This window comes from Homo sapiens, chromosome 6 (assembly GCF_000001405.40).
Source record: "Homo sapiens chromosome 6, GRCh38.p14 Primary Assembly".
Lineage (NCBI taxonomy): Eukaryota > Metazoa > Chordata > Mammalia > Primates > Hominidae > Homo > Homo sapiens.
This window is the reverse complement of record NC_000006.12, coordinates 75,315,625-75,331,160: the sequence shown is the minus strand read 5'-3', so window position 1 is coordinate 75,331,160 and position 15,536 is coordinate 75,315,625. Positions and strand designations below refer to the sequence as shown.

At 37.9% G+C, this 15,536-nt stretch overlaps 1 protein-coding gene and 1 pseudogene across 8 annotated transcripts in view; both read left to right on the top strand.

Moving 5' to 3' along the window:
- FILIP1 (filamin A interacting protein 1) overlaps window positions 1–15,536 on the top strand; it is a 201,942-nt gene that overhangs the window by 162,640 nt on the left and 23,766 nt on the right. The window lies entirely within an intron of this gene.
- Window positions 11,181–12,129, top strand: HMGB1P39 (high mobility group box 1 pseudogene 39; annotated as a pseudogene).

Here is a 15,536-nt window from a genome sequence, read left to right as displayed (position 1 = left end):
AATTTAAATTAGCATGTTACCAGATTTTCTTGAAGACTAAATCAGTATTTTACAATATAGTCTAGCTGCTACCTAGTTTGCAAATACCTACAAGTTTCTGCTTACCTGATAGTAAGAAATGTAATCATCTCCAAGACGTATAATTTGTTATTAGTCATGAACTTTTCATGGTTTTCAGTTCTTGCCATCTATGGGTTTTAAAGGTAAATTACTACGGATTAAACTTCACAATCAGTTTAGTTTGTTGTGGGTTGTTGGGCTAACCCACAGAGAGTCCATAATGCAGGTCCTTAGTTTATAATTTTCAACAACTAGTTCCAAGGCCCATCATCAATATTCCTATTCTAGAGCAGAATTATACATAACCCCCTCGAAATCTGATGAAAAATAAAACTTCATTTATGATAATTTGCCTGAGCTTTGTATGTTTGCCATTTGAATTACTTGAATTATACTAGCAAAGGAAATGTAATTAAATTACTGGATTTTTTAAAAATTTATAGGATGTATAATAGTTTTATAGCTTAAAATCATAAATATAACTACAGGATCTTCTCTTATGAAGAAAAAGCAGTTCACAAAAGCTGCTAGCAACAGGTCTACAGATTTTTTCTCTTCTCTTTCAATTTTTTTTATCACCAAGTTCTTTTTTAGAGTGGGACTATGTGAAATAGGCCTTCCTGCACTGGGCTAGGGTCAAAAATTTGAGATCACAGGCTCCAAAACGTTGCTGGTCTTTATAAGACAAGAGGAGAAAAAAAGTGTACGAGGGCTTTTGTAAACTCATCTTCACTGCTAAGAAATACAAAACAAAAACAAAGCTCAAAAGTTTTTGTCCTATTGGGAAGGATTCACCATTTATCTCTTTATAAAAAATGATTCTCTGGCACTCAGAAATCAGAGTTGGAACTAGGGTGAGGCAAGTGAGGCTCTCACCTTGGGTGCAAAATTTAAGGTGATGCCAAAAAACTCAGTAATCAAGATATACTATATTTTAATGAACTATTTAAAAAGTATCAAAATTAATGCAAAAAATCCACGATGAAGAAAATATCAAAATTTCAAGTGAAGACGGGCTCTGACTCTGCAGTTGTACAACCCAACCCTCATCCACTTCTCTCTCATCCCAGCCCTGCACAGTATATTAGGGCCATTACCTTAATTCTGGATAACTATAATAATAATCACCATATTGAGGAAATGAGGTAATTTATTCAGAAGTAACATTCTATAATTGGATCATTGGTAACACAAAGGATATGCTTGAGGTCATGGATACCTCATGTACCCTGATGTGATTACTACACATTGTATGACTGTATCAAAATATCCCATATACCCCATAAGTGTATATACCTACTATGTACCCACAAAAATTAAAGATTAAAAATTTAAAAAATTAAAAAGTAATGCCCTTTCTGAGTTATTTGGTTAAACCATGCCCTATTATTTTAACAAGGTGCTTAGCTCTATACTGTACTCTAGTTGGGAAAAAACACATTGTGACTAAAGACTTCAAACTACATGTAAGCTTGACTCTTTTGAGGTTCATTCATCTTTAATTACTATCATGCCCTTATGAGTTTTAACCTGCCCTCTGTCTTGGAAGACAGAGAGGCGTACCCAAGGGGAGAGTTGAAGAAAAGCAAAAATAGTGTTCTGAGAAGGAAATTAACATGGTCTGGCTAAGAAACAAGCTTAGGATGACTTTTTGGTGACATTTGTGTTGCAAAACGGGGTCCGATGGATTAAGATGAGGACAAGTGACAAAATCTTAAGGAGTCAAAGAGACAACTGATGCTCTGGAGCTAATGCTGATAAATTTGGAAATGTGGTTGAAAAGTGGGAGTGTCAAGAATGTTGGGCAAAAGGAGCCCTGAAATCTTACACCACTTTATTCCAAGAAAGAGAGGTAAGAATGAATACAGGCAGATGTCCCCTTAAATATTTAGGAGCACAGATTGACAAGTGTTCCAAGGATGGTGGTTATCACAAGAATGGATAATTAGGATAAGCTTTAAAAAAATTCTCACTTCCCATTTCCTTCTCCCAAACAGTTTGTCCTTAGACCATAAGAAGAAAGATAAATTAACAAGTATCTGTGGAATAGGACAGACTGAGAATACTTTATCTGGCATAAGTTTGACTAAGTATCAAATGGATTCCAATAAGGAAGAAAAGTAAAAGTCTAACAAACTAAATTATATAAACATGGAAGGGAATAAGAGAATCACCCACAGTCACAGACAGATGTGAAAGTTCCATGGCACTGTGAGGAAAGTGAAAATACAACCAAAGGCCAAGGGAGCTGAGACTGGAGGTGAGAGGGGCGAGCTAAATATTACAAAGGAGATTTTTTAAAAAAACATTATTAGCTGGGCACGGTGGCTCATGCCTGTAATCCCAGTACTTTGGGAGGCTGAGGTGGGTGGCTCACTTGAGGCCAGGAGTTTGAGACCAGCCTGGCAAACATGTGAAACCCCATCTCTACTAAAAATACAAAAATTAGCCAGGCGTGGTGGTGCATGCCTGTAATCCCAGCTACTCATGAGGCTGAGGCAGGAGAATTGCTTAAACCCGGGAGGCCGAAGTTGCAGTGAGATCATGTCACTGCACTCCAGCCTGGGTGACAGAGTGAGACTCCATCTCAAAAGAAACAAACAAACAAACAAAAACATTATTACAGAAAATTTCAAACATTTACAAAAGTAAAGAGAACAGTATAATGAACACCCATGTACCCATCAATAATCTTCAACAATTAATTAACTTATGACCAGTCTGGTTTCATCTATTTTTCACCCCCCTGAATTATTTTGATATAAATTTCAGATACATAATTTCATTCACAAATATTTCAATATGTACTTCTAAAAAATAAGGACTTAAAAATAAAGGACTCTTGCCATAATCCATTATCTAACCTAAAACTTAATAATTATTTCTCAACAATATAATTTTTCCAATTATCTCATTTAAAAAAGCAGTTTGAATAAGAATCCAAAAGGTTACAATTGGTTGATATGTCTTCTAAATTTTAAAAAAATCCATAGGTTCCCCTTTCTGCTCCCATTTTATCTTGCAATTTATTGATTGAAGAAACTAGTTTGTTTATCCTATGTAGTTGCCCACATTTTGGATTTTTCTGATTGCATCATCATGAGGTCATTTAGCAGTTCCTTGCTCCTATCTTTCCTTTAAACTAGTAATTAGTAGTTATAGGAGCTTGATTTGATTCAGGTTCAGGGTTTTTTTTGTTAAGAGAATCTTTCGTGGGTGGAGGTTTGTATATAATGTCTGGCTGTCTCTTTTTGAGAAACACTGATGAGCATTACCTACATCCATTATTTCAAAATGGTGGTATTCTATAGTTACCTCTTTATTTATCAATAGTAGCATGTTTTCATTTATTAATTTATAAAGAATAAGGAAAAACAAAGTTTTAAATTAAGAAGAAACGTTAATATATATCTCTTAATGTTTATATAGGAAAAACAAACTAGTTTCTTAAATATATATGAGGGAGATCTGGAGAGTGTTTTGAAAGGCTCTGTGCATTGACCTTTTTATTTTATATTTATATATATGCATATATACTTATATATATATATTCATATATATATATTCACACACAAAAAAATCTTAAAATACTGATCCTGCCCTACCTGTTTCCTGTGTTCACTTTCCCGTTTCTCCTTCCTTTTACAAGCAGAGTGACATGATCTGATTTACCCTCTTTTAGGATCATTCCGGCTTCTGGGAAGAGAACAGACTGTGGGTGGACAAGAGTGGAAGTTGGGAGTCAGACTGGGTGGCTCTTGCAATAATCCAGATAAGAGATGATGGTGGCTTGGGCCAGGGGGATAGCAATGGAGGAAGTGAGAAGTAACTGGATTCAGGATATATTTTGAAAGCAGAATTGACAAGATTTGCTGATGAATTGAATGCAGGGATGTTACTCAAGATGGCTCTAAATTTCAGTCCTAAGCATCTGGAAGAAGCGGGTGTAGGTGACTGATTTGAGGAAGATGTGGTTGGAACAGATTCATGGGGAAGATTGGGAGCTCAGAAGAGATAAAGAATGAACAGCTCAGTGGGCTCACAGCTAATTGAATGACAATGTCCACGCTACTGAATGGATTGATGTCAGCAGGAGGGAGATCTGGAGAGTGCTTTGAAAGGCTCTGTGCATTGACCTATTTAATTAATAATTGGGGTCATCTTGCCATTGACACAATGCTAGGTATAAGCTGTTATTCTGGGTGACAAAATAGAGTCCAAGGGGCATCTTGACAATTCTAAGATAAACTGAATCAAGCAAGATGAAGTTAACCTAAACAGAGTCTGGCAAACCTGAGCTGTCCAGGCAATATCCATTTGAGCAATAGCATTGTTATGAAAGCACAGTGTTTGTGCAAATAGATCTGATTCAAAATCCCAACCTTCTTAGTCATGTTCTCTTAAGTTAAATAATGATTTACCTTATTTATAAAATGGTATAGTATTGCCTTGCTCAAAGGGAATGAAAATTAAATGAAATAATAAAGCTCTCACACTACCTAGGAGACCTTTCCTTTTATTTCATATGTTGTCAAAATTAGGTATTAGCAAATATTGGAGTTGGGGTGGGCTTTATTTAAGCTTTATTTTATTTTAATAGTTTTTGGGGAACAGGTGGTTTTTTGTTCAGGGATATGTTCTTTAGGGATAGCTATTTAGTGGTGATTTCTGAGATTTTGGTGCACCCATCATCCGAGCAGTGTACGCTGAACTCAATGTGTAGTCTTTTATCTTTTACCCCTCTACCCCACTTCCCTGAGTCCCCAAAGTCCATTGTATCATTCTTATGCCTTTGCGTCCTCATAGCTTAGATCTCACTTATAAGTGAGAACATATGATATTTGGTTTTCTATTCCTTAATTACTTCACTTAGAATAATGGTTTCCAACTCCATCCAGGTTGCTGTGAATGCCATTATTTTGTTCCTTTTTATGGCTGAGTAGTATTTCATGATGTGTGTGTGTGTGTGTGTGTATATCTATCTATCTCTCTATCTATCTATCTAATCTATCTATCTATCTATCTATCTATCATCTATCATCTGTCTATTATCTATATCTCACCTTTTATCCACTCGTTGGTTGATGGGCATTCAGGCTGGTTTCATATTTTTGCAGTTGCGAGTTACACTGCTAAAATATGCATGTGCAAGTGTCTTTTTCATATAGTGACTTCTTTTCCCCTGGGTAGATCCCCAATAGTGGAATTGCTGGATCAAATGGTGGTTCTACTTTTAGTTCTTTAAGGAAGCTTCATAATGTTTTCCATAGTGGTTGTACTAGTTTACATTCCCACCAGCAGTGTAAAAAAGTGTTCACACATGATGTGATCCCTTTTCACCACATCCATGCCAACATCTATTTTTTTTTATTTTTTAATTATGGTAATTCTTGCAGGAGCAAGATGGTATCTCATTGTGGCTTTGATTTTGCATTTTCCTGATAAGTAGTGGTGTTGAGCATTTTTTCCAAATGTTTGTTGGCTGTTGGTATATCATCTTTTGAGAATTGTCTATTCATGTCCTTTGCCCACTTTTTGATGGGATTATTTGTTTTTTCTTGCTGATTTAAATTCCTTATAAATTCTGGATATTAGTCCTTTGTCAGATGCAGAGTTTGCAAATATTTTCTCCCACTCTGTGGGATGTTTACTCTGCTGTTTTGTTTTGTTTTGTTTTTTGAGACAGAGTCTCGCTCTGTCACCCAGGCTGGAGTGCAGTGGCGCAATCTCGGCTTACTGCAGCCTCCACCTCCCAGATTCAAGCAATTCTCCTGCCTCAGCCACCCAAGTAGCTGGGGCTACAGGTGTGTGCCACCACACCCAGATAATTTTTATATTTTTAGTAGAGATAGGGCTTCACCGTATTGCCCAGGCTGGTCTCGAACTCCTGACCTCAGTTGATCCACCTGCCTTGGCCTCGGCCTCCCAAAGTACTGGGATTATAGGCATGCACCACCATGCCCAGTCTGATTACTTCTTTTGCTGTACAGAAGCTTTTTAGTTTAGTTAGGTTCCATCTATTTATTTTTGTTTTTGTTGCATTTGCTTTTGGGTTCTTGATTATAAACTCTTTGCCTAAGCCAATGTCTAGAAGAGTTTTTCCAATGTTATCTTCTAGAGATTTTATGGTTTCAGGTCTTACATTTAAGTCTTTGATCCATCTTGAGTTGATTTTTGTATAAGGTGAGATGAGGATCAAGTTTCATTCTTCTACATGCGGCTTGCCAATTATCCCAGCACCGTCTGTTGAACAGGGTATACTTTCCCCACTTTATGCTTTTGTTCGCCTTGTTGAAGATCAGTTGGCTGTAAGTACTTGGCTTTATTTCCAGGTTCTCTATTCTGTTCCATTGGTCTACATGCTTATTTTTATACCAGTACAATGCTGTTTTGGTGAATATGGCCTTCTAGCATAGTTTGAAATCAGGTAATTGATGCCTCTAGATTTGTTTTTTCGCTTAGTGTTGCTTTGGCTATGTGGGCTCTTTTTTGGTTCCATATAAATTTTAGGATTGTTTTTTCTAGTTCTGTGAAGAATGATGATGACATTTTGATGGGAAATGCATTGAATCTGTAGAGTGCCTTTGGCAGTATGGTTATTTTCACAATATTGATTCTACCCGTCCCTGAGCATGGGGTGTGCTTCCATTTGTTTGTATCATCTGTGATTTCTTTCAGCAGTGTTTTGTAGTTTTCCTTGTAGAGATCTTTTATCTCCTTGGTTAGGTATATTTCTTTCCTTTTTTTTTTTTTTTGGTTAGGTATATTTCTAAGTGCTTTATTTTATTTTTATTTTTTTGCAGCTGTTGTAAAAGGGATTGAGTTCTTGATTTGATTCTCAGTTTGGTCACTGTTGGTGTATAGCAGTGCTACTGATTTGTGTATAGTGATTTTGTATCCTGAGACTTTACTGAATTCATTAATCAGATCTAGAAGCTTTCTGGATGAGTCTTTAGGATTTTCTAGGTATAGGATCATATCACTGGCAAACACTGACAGTTTGACTTCCTGTATTAGTCCATTTTCACACTGCTACAAAGACACCACCTAAGACTGAGTGATTTATAAATAAAAGAGGTTTAATTTACTCACAGTTCTGCAGGCCTGGGGAGGCCTCAGGAAACTTATAATCATGGTGAAAGGCAAAAGAGAAGTTAAGTACCTTCTTCACAAGGCAGCAGGAAAGAGAGTGCAGAGGAAACTGCCACTTTTAAAACCATCAGGCCTCATGAAAACTCCCTCACTATTATAACAGCGTGGGGGGAACCACCCCTATCCAATCACCTACCAACAGGTCCATCTCTTGACATATGGGGATTATAATTGAGATGAGATTTGGGTGGGGACACAGAGCCAAACCATGTCACTTCCTTTCTACCAGTTTGCATGCCCCTTATTTCTTTTTCTTGACTGATTGCTCTGGCAGGGTGGGCTTTTAAGAGCCTCTTGAAGTAATATTAGGACTAGAGATTGTCTAGGACCTGAAACATTACCTCACCAGAAAAAGTTTTCTTGTCAGCCCCTCTAACACCACCTGAAATGTCAGCTCCCTTCTCTTTACCTTCCCCACCTGTGCTTCCACCTCTTTCTGCCTTAAGATTAATAACCAATTTTATGTTTTCTATCATATTTTAAGTCACTCGCTAGTAATATTTGTTTACAATCTTTCTCCCTTTATCTGACATCTCGGAACACTTTCCAGGGTTTTAATTTCTTTTTTCTGGTTTTTAATTGAGATATAATTTACATACAGTAAAATTCACCAATTTTAATTACATAATTTGATGAATCTTGACAAATGTATGCACCATCAACAATCATAGAATGTTTGGGAATATAAAGTTGAGCTATTAAATTCTAAACTCACATTTGGAGCTCAGAATGGAACTACTATGCCACTCATTTACCTGGGTTTTTAATCCAATTGCCATTATTTAATTAAATGTAAAAAAAATCACATTAATAAAGAGTTTTCTAAATGGCAAAAAATAAAAATAAAAAAGGAAAAACTTCTGGGCCCACACTTTTAAAGTCTTCTAGTTGAAAATAATTAAATTTCTGAACATGCTGATAAGTGATCAATTTGCAAGTTAAAAAGTATAATTTTGGCTGGCCATAGTGGCTCATGCTTGTAATCCCAGCACTTTGGGAGGCCGAGGTGGGTGGATCATCTGAGGTCAGGAGTTTTAGACCAGCCTGGCCGAGATGGTAAAACCCCGTCTCTACTGAAAATACAAAAATTAGCCAGGTGTGGTAGCACATGCCTGTAGTCCCAGCTACTCAGGAGGCTGAGGTGGGAGAATCATTTTAACCCGGGAGGCTGAGGTTACAGTGAGCCAAGATGGCACCACTGCACTTCAGCCTGAGTGACAGATTGAGACTCTGTCTCAAAAAAAAGTATAATTTTATTCAGTATGAAATAAGAAATTAAGAATACATTTAAGAATAGTTATTAAGAAAGGCAATAACAATTTAAAATACCTATTAATTCATTTACTTGTCTTTGTTCTCTAAAGAGGACTAAATGCTTGCAGAAAATTTAAAATTTGCCAAGAAAAAGTTTGATTTTAGGATACTTAGGGCTCTACCTGTGACTGCTGATGGGAATCAGGGTACTAATTTATTTTTTTAGTCTTAGTCTTCTGGTTTGTTTCCTTTTCATGCTAATATATTTAGAATCAAGGCATAGTTGAAGAATGGGAAGGTGAGCGGAGAAGAGAATGGAGAGGAGGTGGTAAGACTAGTTGGCACAAGCAAAACTTAAATCTCTTATTCTGCTTCTTAAATAGCATAATTACACGGAAATGGTGCCCAGTAATGTAGAGCAAATTAATTGTTTGAAGTGTAAAATGAAATTGTAACTATTAGGAAATTGTTGAAAAAAAAAGAGATGTAATATGCCATAGGCATTATGTTTTGTGAATAGATACATGCTATATTTCTGAATGCCGAATGCTTGTTTAATGTAAAATGAGGATTTCTAAATATGAGGGAAGAGAAAAAAACATCTGCAAGTGGAATGCTGAATCGACTGGGGAGGTGGATAAAGTGAGACACAAGCCTGTTCCTGCCTTCCCAAAACCCTCTTCCTTGGGTGCTCCTGTGTTTCTCCATGGCTCCCTCTTTCTCTGTATCTGTTTCTCCTCTTCTCTCTCTGCACAGGCCTTCCATAGGTCCTTCTAATTCTTTTTATCTCTCATTTTTGGGCATTTCCCAAAGTTTTTTCTCCATCCTATCCTTTTTCTCTCTTTAGATATGTTCTACTTTGGAGATCACATTCATTTCTTTTTTTTTTTTTTTGAGACGGAGTCTCGCTCTGTCGCCCAGGTCGGACTGCGGACTGCAGTGGCGCAATCTCGGCTCACTGCAAGCTCCGCTTCCCGGGTTCACGCCATTCTCCTGCCTCAGCCTCCCGAGTAGCTGGGACTACAGGCGCCCGCCACCGCGCCCGGCTAATTTTTTGTATTTTTAGTAGAGACGGGGTTTCACCGTTTTAGCCAGGATGGTCTCGATCTCCTGACCTCATGATCCACCCGCCTCGGCCTCCCAAAGTGCTGGGATTACAGGCGTGAGCCACCGCGCCCGGCCGATCACATTCATTTCTATGTCTAAGGAAATATCACCTCCATTATGGAAATAAAAATCTAACAATTACTAAGCTTTTTAGCACTGTGAAAATTTCTATGTAGGGTGGGATGGCTGACAAAATGATCGCATGTTTCCCTCTGATTTTCTTTCCTCCTAGGAGTTCTGTCACCTTAATTACCACTGTTCTTCCCAATAGACCCAAGGGTGTACTGCTCCACATTAGATTTTGATCCAACTGTGGGTGAAAATCCCTTTCCTTTAAAAAAACAAAACAAAAAACAAAACAAAACAAAAAAACGACAACAGTCTGGGCACAATGACTCACAATTGTAATCCCAACACTTTGGGAGGCCAAGATGGGAGGATTGCTTGAGGTCAGGAGTTTGAGACCAGCCTGAACAACATAGTAAGATGCCATCTTGAAGAAGAAGGAGAGGGAGAAGGAGGAAGTAGAAGAGGAAGAGGAGGAGAAGGAGGAGGAGGAAGAAGAACTAAGACAAACTAGTGACACAAAAACCTATGAGAGAAAAAAAGCCTTAATTCAGCCTGTTCTAATACTCCCATAGCTGTTTTATAGGTTAAATAGAGGTTGTTCAGCCTCCAGTGCTACAGGTAGACAGATAGTAAGGGATATCTTGCTCAGCCCATATAGAGAAGGCTCCCTCCCTCATTTGAGGTTTCTCAGTTGAGAGACACATTTCTTTTCTAATAGGCTAACAATTAAAATGGACACGTTCTTCAAGGGAGGCCATTGCTCATTAGACAGAGGAACTCATCTAATAACCACTATTAATATAAAATTGCTGGCCTAATAACAACTGCAATATCTGTTTAACAAAAATGTATACTCACTCAGCATCGTGGAGAACTTTAGTTAATACATCTCTATTTAGGTAATTTCCAGATCTATATTTGTTTTCTTTTTTTCTTTTTTTTGAGATAGGGTCTTGTTCTTTTGCCCGGGATGGAGTGCAGTGATGTGATCTCGGCTCACTGCAACCTCTGCCTCCCGGGCTCAGGTGATCCTCCCACCTCAGCCTCCTGAGTAGCTGGGATTACAGGCACATGCCACCACACACAGCTAATTTTTGTTTTTTTGCTTTGTTTTGTTTTGTTTTTGTAGAGATGAGGTTTTGCCATGTTGCCCAGGCTGGTCTCTAACTCCCAGACTCAAGCGATTTGCCTGCCTCGGCCTCCCAAAGTGCTGGGATTACAGGCTTGAGCCACCGCTCCCAGCCTACAGATTTATGTTTCTAATTCAAGTTTATATCTTCATTCTTTCTCTTGTTTATGCATTCAGTCAATATTTCTTGAGCACATCCTATGTGTCAGGCATTACGCAAGGGGGCAAACAAGACAAACATGGCAGCTACCCTCATGGAATTTGCATTAACAGAGGTAGGCAGACATTAAAAAAATTATAAGTTGGGACAGCCATTGCAGTAACTGAGCTCCATAGAGACAGCACCGGGGCAAATGAGAGCCGGACCGGCACTGGGCGACTCTGCCTTGCTGAAGAAAAATAACTAAACATGGGCAATGGAGATCCTAAGAAGCTGAGAGGCAAAATGTCATGATATGCATTCTTTGTGCAAACTTGTCCGGAGGAGGAGCATAAGAAGAAGCACCCAGGTGCTTCAGTCAACTTCTCAGAGTTTTCTTTTCTTTTCTTTTTTTTTTTGGGGGACGGAGTCTTGCTCTGTTGCCCAGGCTGGAGTGCAGTGGCACAATCTCAGCTCACTGCAAGCTCCGCCCCCCGGGTTCACACAATTATCCTGCCTCAGCCTCCGCAGTAGCTGGGACTACAGGCGCCCGCCGCTACGCCCGGCTAATTTTTTGTATTTTTAGTAGAGACAGGGTTTCACCGTGTTAGCCAGGATGGTCTCGATCTCCTGACCTTGTGATCCGCCAGCCTCGGCCTCCCAAAGTGCTGGGATTACAGGCGTGAGCCACCGGGCCCGGCCTCAGAGTTTTCTAAGAAGTGCTCAGAGAGGTAGAAGACCATGTCTGCTGAAGAGAAAGGAAAATTTGAAGATATGGCAAAGGCGGACAAGGCCCATTATGAAAGAGAAATGAAATCTATAGCCCTCCTAAAGGGGAGACAAAAAAGAAGTTCAAGGACTCCAGGGCACCCAAGAGCTCTCCTTCGGCCTTTTTCATGTTCTGCTCTGAGTATCGCCCAAAAATCAAAGAAGAACATCCTGGCCTGCCCATTGGTGATGCTGGAAGAAACTGGGACAGGTGTGAAATAATACTGTTGCAGATGACAAGCAGCCTTATGAAAAGAAGGCTGCGAAGCTGAAGGAAAAACAAGAAAAGGATATTGCTGCATATCAAGCTAAAGGAAAGCCTGATGCAGCATAAAAGGGAATTGTCAAGTCTGAAAAAAGCAAGAAAAAGAAGGAAGAGGAGGAAGATGAAGAGGATGAAGAGGAGGAAGAAGGTGAAGAAGATGAAGATGAAGAAGATGACGATGATGAATAAGTTGGTTCTAGCACAGTTTTTTTTCATGTCTATAAAGCATTTAACCTCCCTGTACACAACTCACTCTTTTTAAAGAAAAAAATTGAAATGTAAAGCTGTGTAAGATTTTTTAAACTGTACAGTGTCTTTTTTTTTTGTATAGTTAACACTCTACAGAGTGTGTCTTTAGATAGTCCTGTCCTGGTAGTATTTTCAATAGCCAGTAACCTTGCCTGGGACAGTATGGAGGTTGTTAATTGGCATAGATTTAAAGCAGGTTCTTGTTGGTGCACAGCACAAATTAATTATATATGGGGATGGTAGTTTTTTCTTTTTCAGTTGTCTCTGATGCAGCTTATACGAAATAATTGTTGTTCTGTTAACTGAATACCACTCTGTAATTGCAAAGAAAAAAGTTGCAGCAGTTTTGTTGACATTCTGAATGCTTCTAAGTAAATATAACTTTTTTATTAGAAAAAAATATATGTTGATTAAGTGTTATAAAAGAAAACTGGGCCAGGCATGATGGCTCACACCTGTAATCCCAGCATTTTGGGAGACTGAGGCAGGAGGATCACTTGACACCAGCAGTTCAATACCAGCCTAGGTGACATCGGGGCGACTCTGTCTCTACAAAAAATAAAAATCTTAGCCAGGCATGTGCTATGTGCCTGTAGTCCCAGCCATTTGGGAGGCTGAGGTCGAAGGATAGTTTGAGCACAAAACGTTGAGGCTGCGGTGAACTATAATCATGCCACAGCACTTCAACCTGGGTGACAGAACAAGATCTCGTCTCTAAAAAAAAAAAAAAAAAAAAAAAAGACTGTATAATAATTGATATTATAGGAGTCTATAAGAAGTTCTGACTTAATTGGGTTTGAAGAAGTGACATTGAAGTGAAACTTGGAGGATGAAAAGCTATCCAGGAACATTCAGTTGAGTGTGACGTGTGACAGGATGAAAAAAAAAGGAGCAGGGAGGAAATACTAAGCAGAGGACACAGCATTTGCAAGGAATGTTAGATAACGGGAGAGACTGACTGGACATGAACTTATCAAGGAGGTCAGGTATTGAATCCCATCATTCCCATCCCCAATGTCTTGCCTGTAAGAAGTTTGATTGCAGGTCTATTTGTGCAGAAGGCATTGGCAGGCCTTCCAAAATGAGCTGAGCAACTTTACCTTGATCCTGGATCTGACCCTCAGCTGTACCAACTGGGAAACTGGGTTTTGGGAGCACACAGAGAATGAGCCTGGTATTTCTGTAGAGCCACTTTAACTATGAGATGGGCATGGTTTAAGATGTGGTGAAAGAGAATAGGAGGGAGAGTAAGCTAATGGGGTTAGAAAAACAGAAATAATCACAGCTAGGAGAACGTGAAAAATGTGGTTTCCTGGAAGCCAAATTCCTGCTGAGATCACGCTCTAGCTCATGGAATTTCCCACTGATTGGAATGCCTTCTGCTTTTCTCTGGCTGAAACATTAGTGCCCCAAGTTTTACTATCAAAGACAGGATAATGACAAAAATATTTATTGGTTAAATATAGAAAGCACTGACAGTCTTTCCAGATGAAGCCAATAGCATATACAATAGTTCTTATCTTTTTGTGCTTTATTACATTCATGTATTGAGTCTATGTATCTGTCACTTTACTTCTACTATTTCAATTAATCTTCACAACAATTCTATATGGTTGGTATTAGTGTTCCATTATTGGAACGCTAAGCTTGTGGGATTTATTTATATCCTGCTTCTCAAGGTCATCACCAAGGTCTGATTTTTCACACACAAAAAATTGCAACCTCCAGCATAAATGGGTTAATATCCCTCCCTCTTTCCTCTACTGGTGAAAAAATTGAGAATCAGAGAGTTTCAGTGATTGGCCAGAGATTACACAGTTAGAAAGTGACAGAGTCAGAATTCAGATTTGATTGTCTGACTCCAAAACCTATGTTGTAGTCACTCCAATCCACTGCCTCTAACAGTATAGAGGCATAGTATTCCTAAAAATATATTTTTAGAAGCTTTAACATGTTAAGCTTAGAATTGGAAGCAGTAACGTTTTCAATAAATTAATCTCTAACAGTCCAGTTAAGGGCAAGGAATTTGAAAATGGTATTTTATGTTGAAAATATCCTGAAAAGTTTCTCCCCTAATCTATGGTTCTATGACATTATTTCACTTGTTTCAACTTTTAGTAAAAAGAGAACATGGTCAATAAAATGCTGTTTTCTACATGTAAGGACCACATTTAGTGATGCTGTTACAGTATTAGGCAAATCAGTAGGACTTGAAGATCATATTTTCCTCCTATTTTAGGAATAAAGTCATAATGATTTTTGGAGGGTATGCATTAGTTTAGAGATGCTGAGACACAATCATGCTTTATAAAAGTAAATTCTATGAAAAAATCTTAACGACATGATCAGAGCCATTTCTGTAATACTTATCTCACACTGTATTTAATTATTAATAGCTTCTATTGTGCTTTACTAATGTATGTTCAAATATTTCTTGTACACCAGCTTTCAGTCAGTGACAAGTAAAAAAAAAACACACAAATATTTCTTACACAATGCAATGAGAGACTATTAAATTCTATTTACTTGGCTAACAGCTAATCTAGTCATAAATATGAAATTAATCAGTCAGAATAGTAAAGGAGCAAAATACACTGAAAGAATAAAATCTATTATACTTAAATAAGTGCATGTCATTGGTTGTTTATAACTTGCTTCCCTTATAAACCTATTAATTACTAAAATGCATTCTTACACTAACATGGCAAATATGATTATAATTTTGTTTTATGGGTAAATAAAAAAACTATTAAAATTAGTACAAGTTAACTGACCAACCCAAGAATGGTAAATAGCTACTTCAGCATATTTATATTCCTACTTTTTACAGATATTCATAAATGCCATAGAGAAAATGTATTTCACACAAGTGAAACAATAATTCCTGTGGCTGCCACATTTTTGTATTGATATACAGATTTTCTTGCTATCTAGTTCTTGATTAAAAAAGTATTGTTTAAATAAAAAAATCCTGTGCCAGTTCTGGTGTGAACTAAAATCAATTTATGTAAATCAGTGTTTGTATCAGAAAGCCAGTCATACTTTGTCCCTTCCAGGTGACAGTTACGTAGTTTACGTCAAGGGTTTAAAATAAGAAAACCCAAAGCTGCTTCTTTTCTGAACCTTTACCATCATTTAAAGTAAATTTATCTCCTCAAATCATATGATGCAGAGGTGGAGAGCAATAATTTTGAAGGCTTCCTGGCTAAGTTTGAAACCCAGCCCTGCCACTTACTGACTCTGGGATCTGTAGCAGGCTACATAATTCCCCTGTATCTCATGTTTTTTCATGGTGATGATAGTAGCAATACATATCTCATAGGGTTACTCTGAGAATAAAGTAA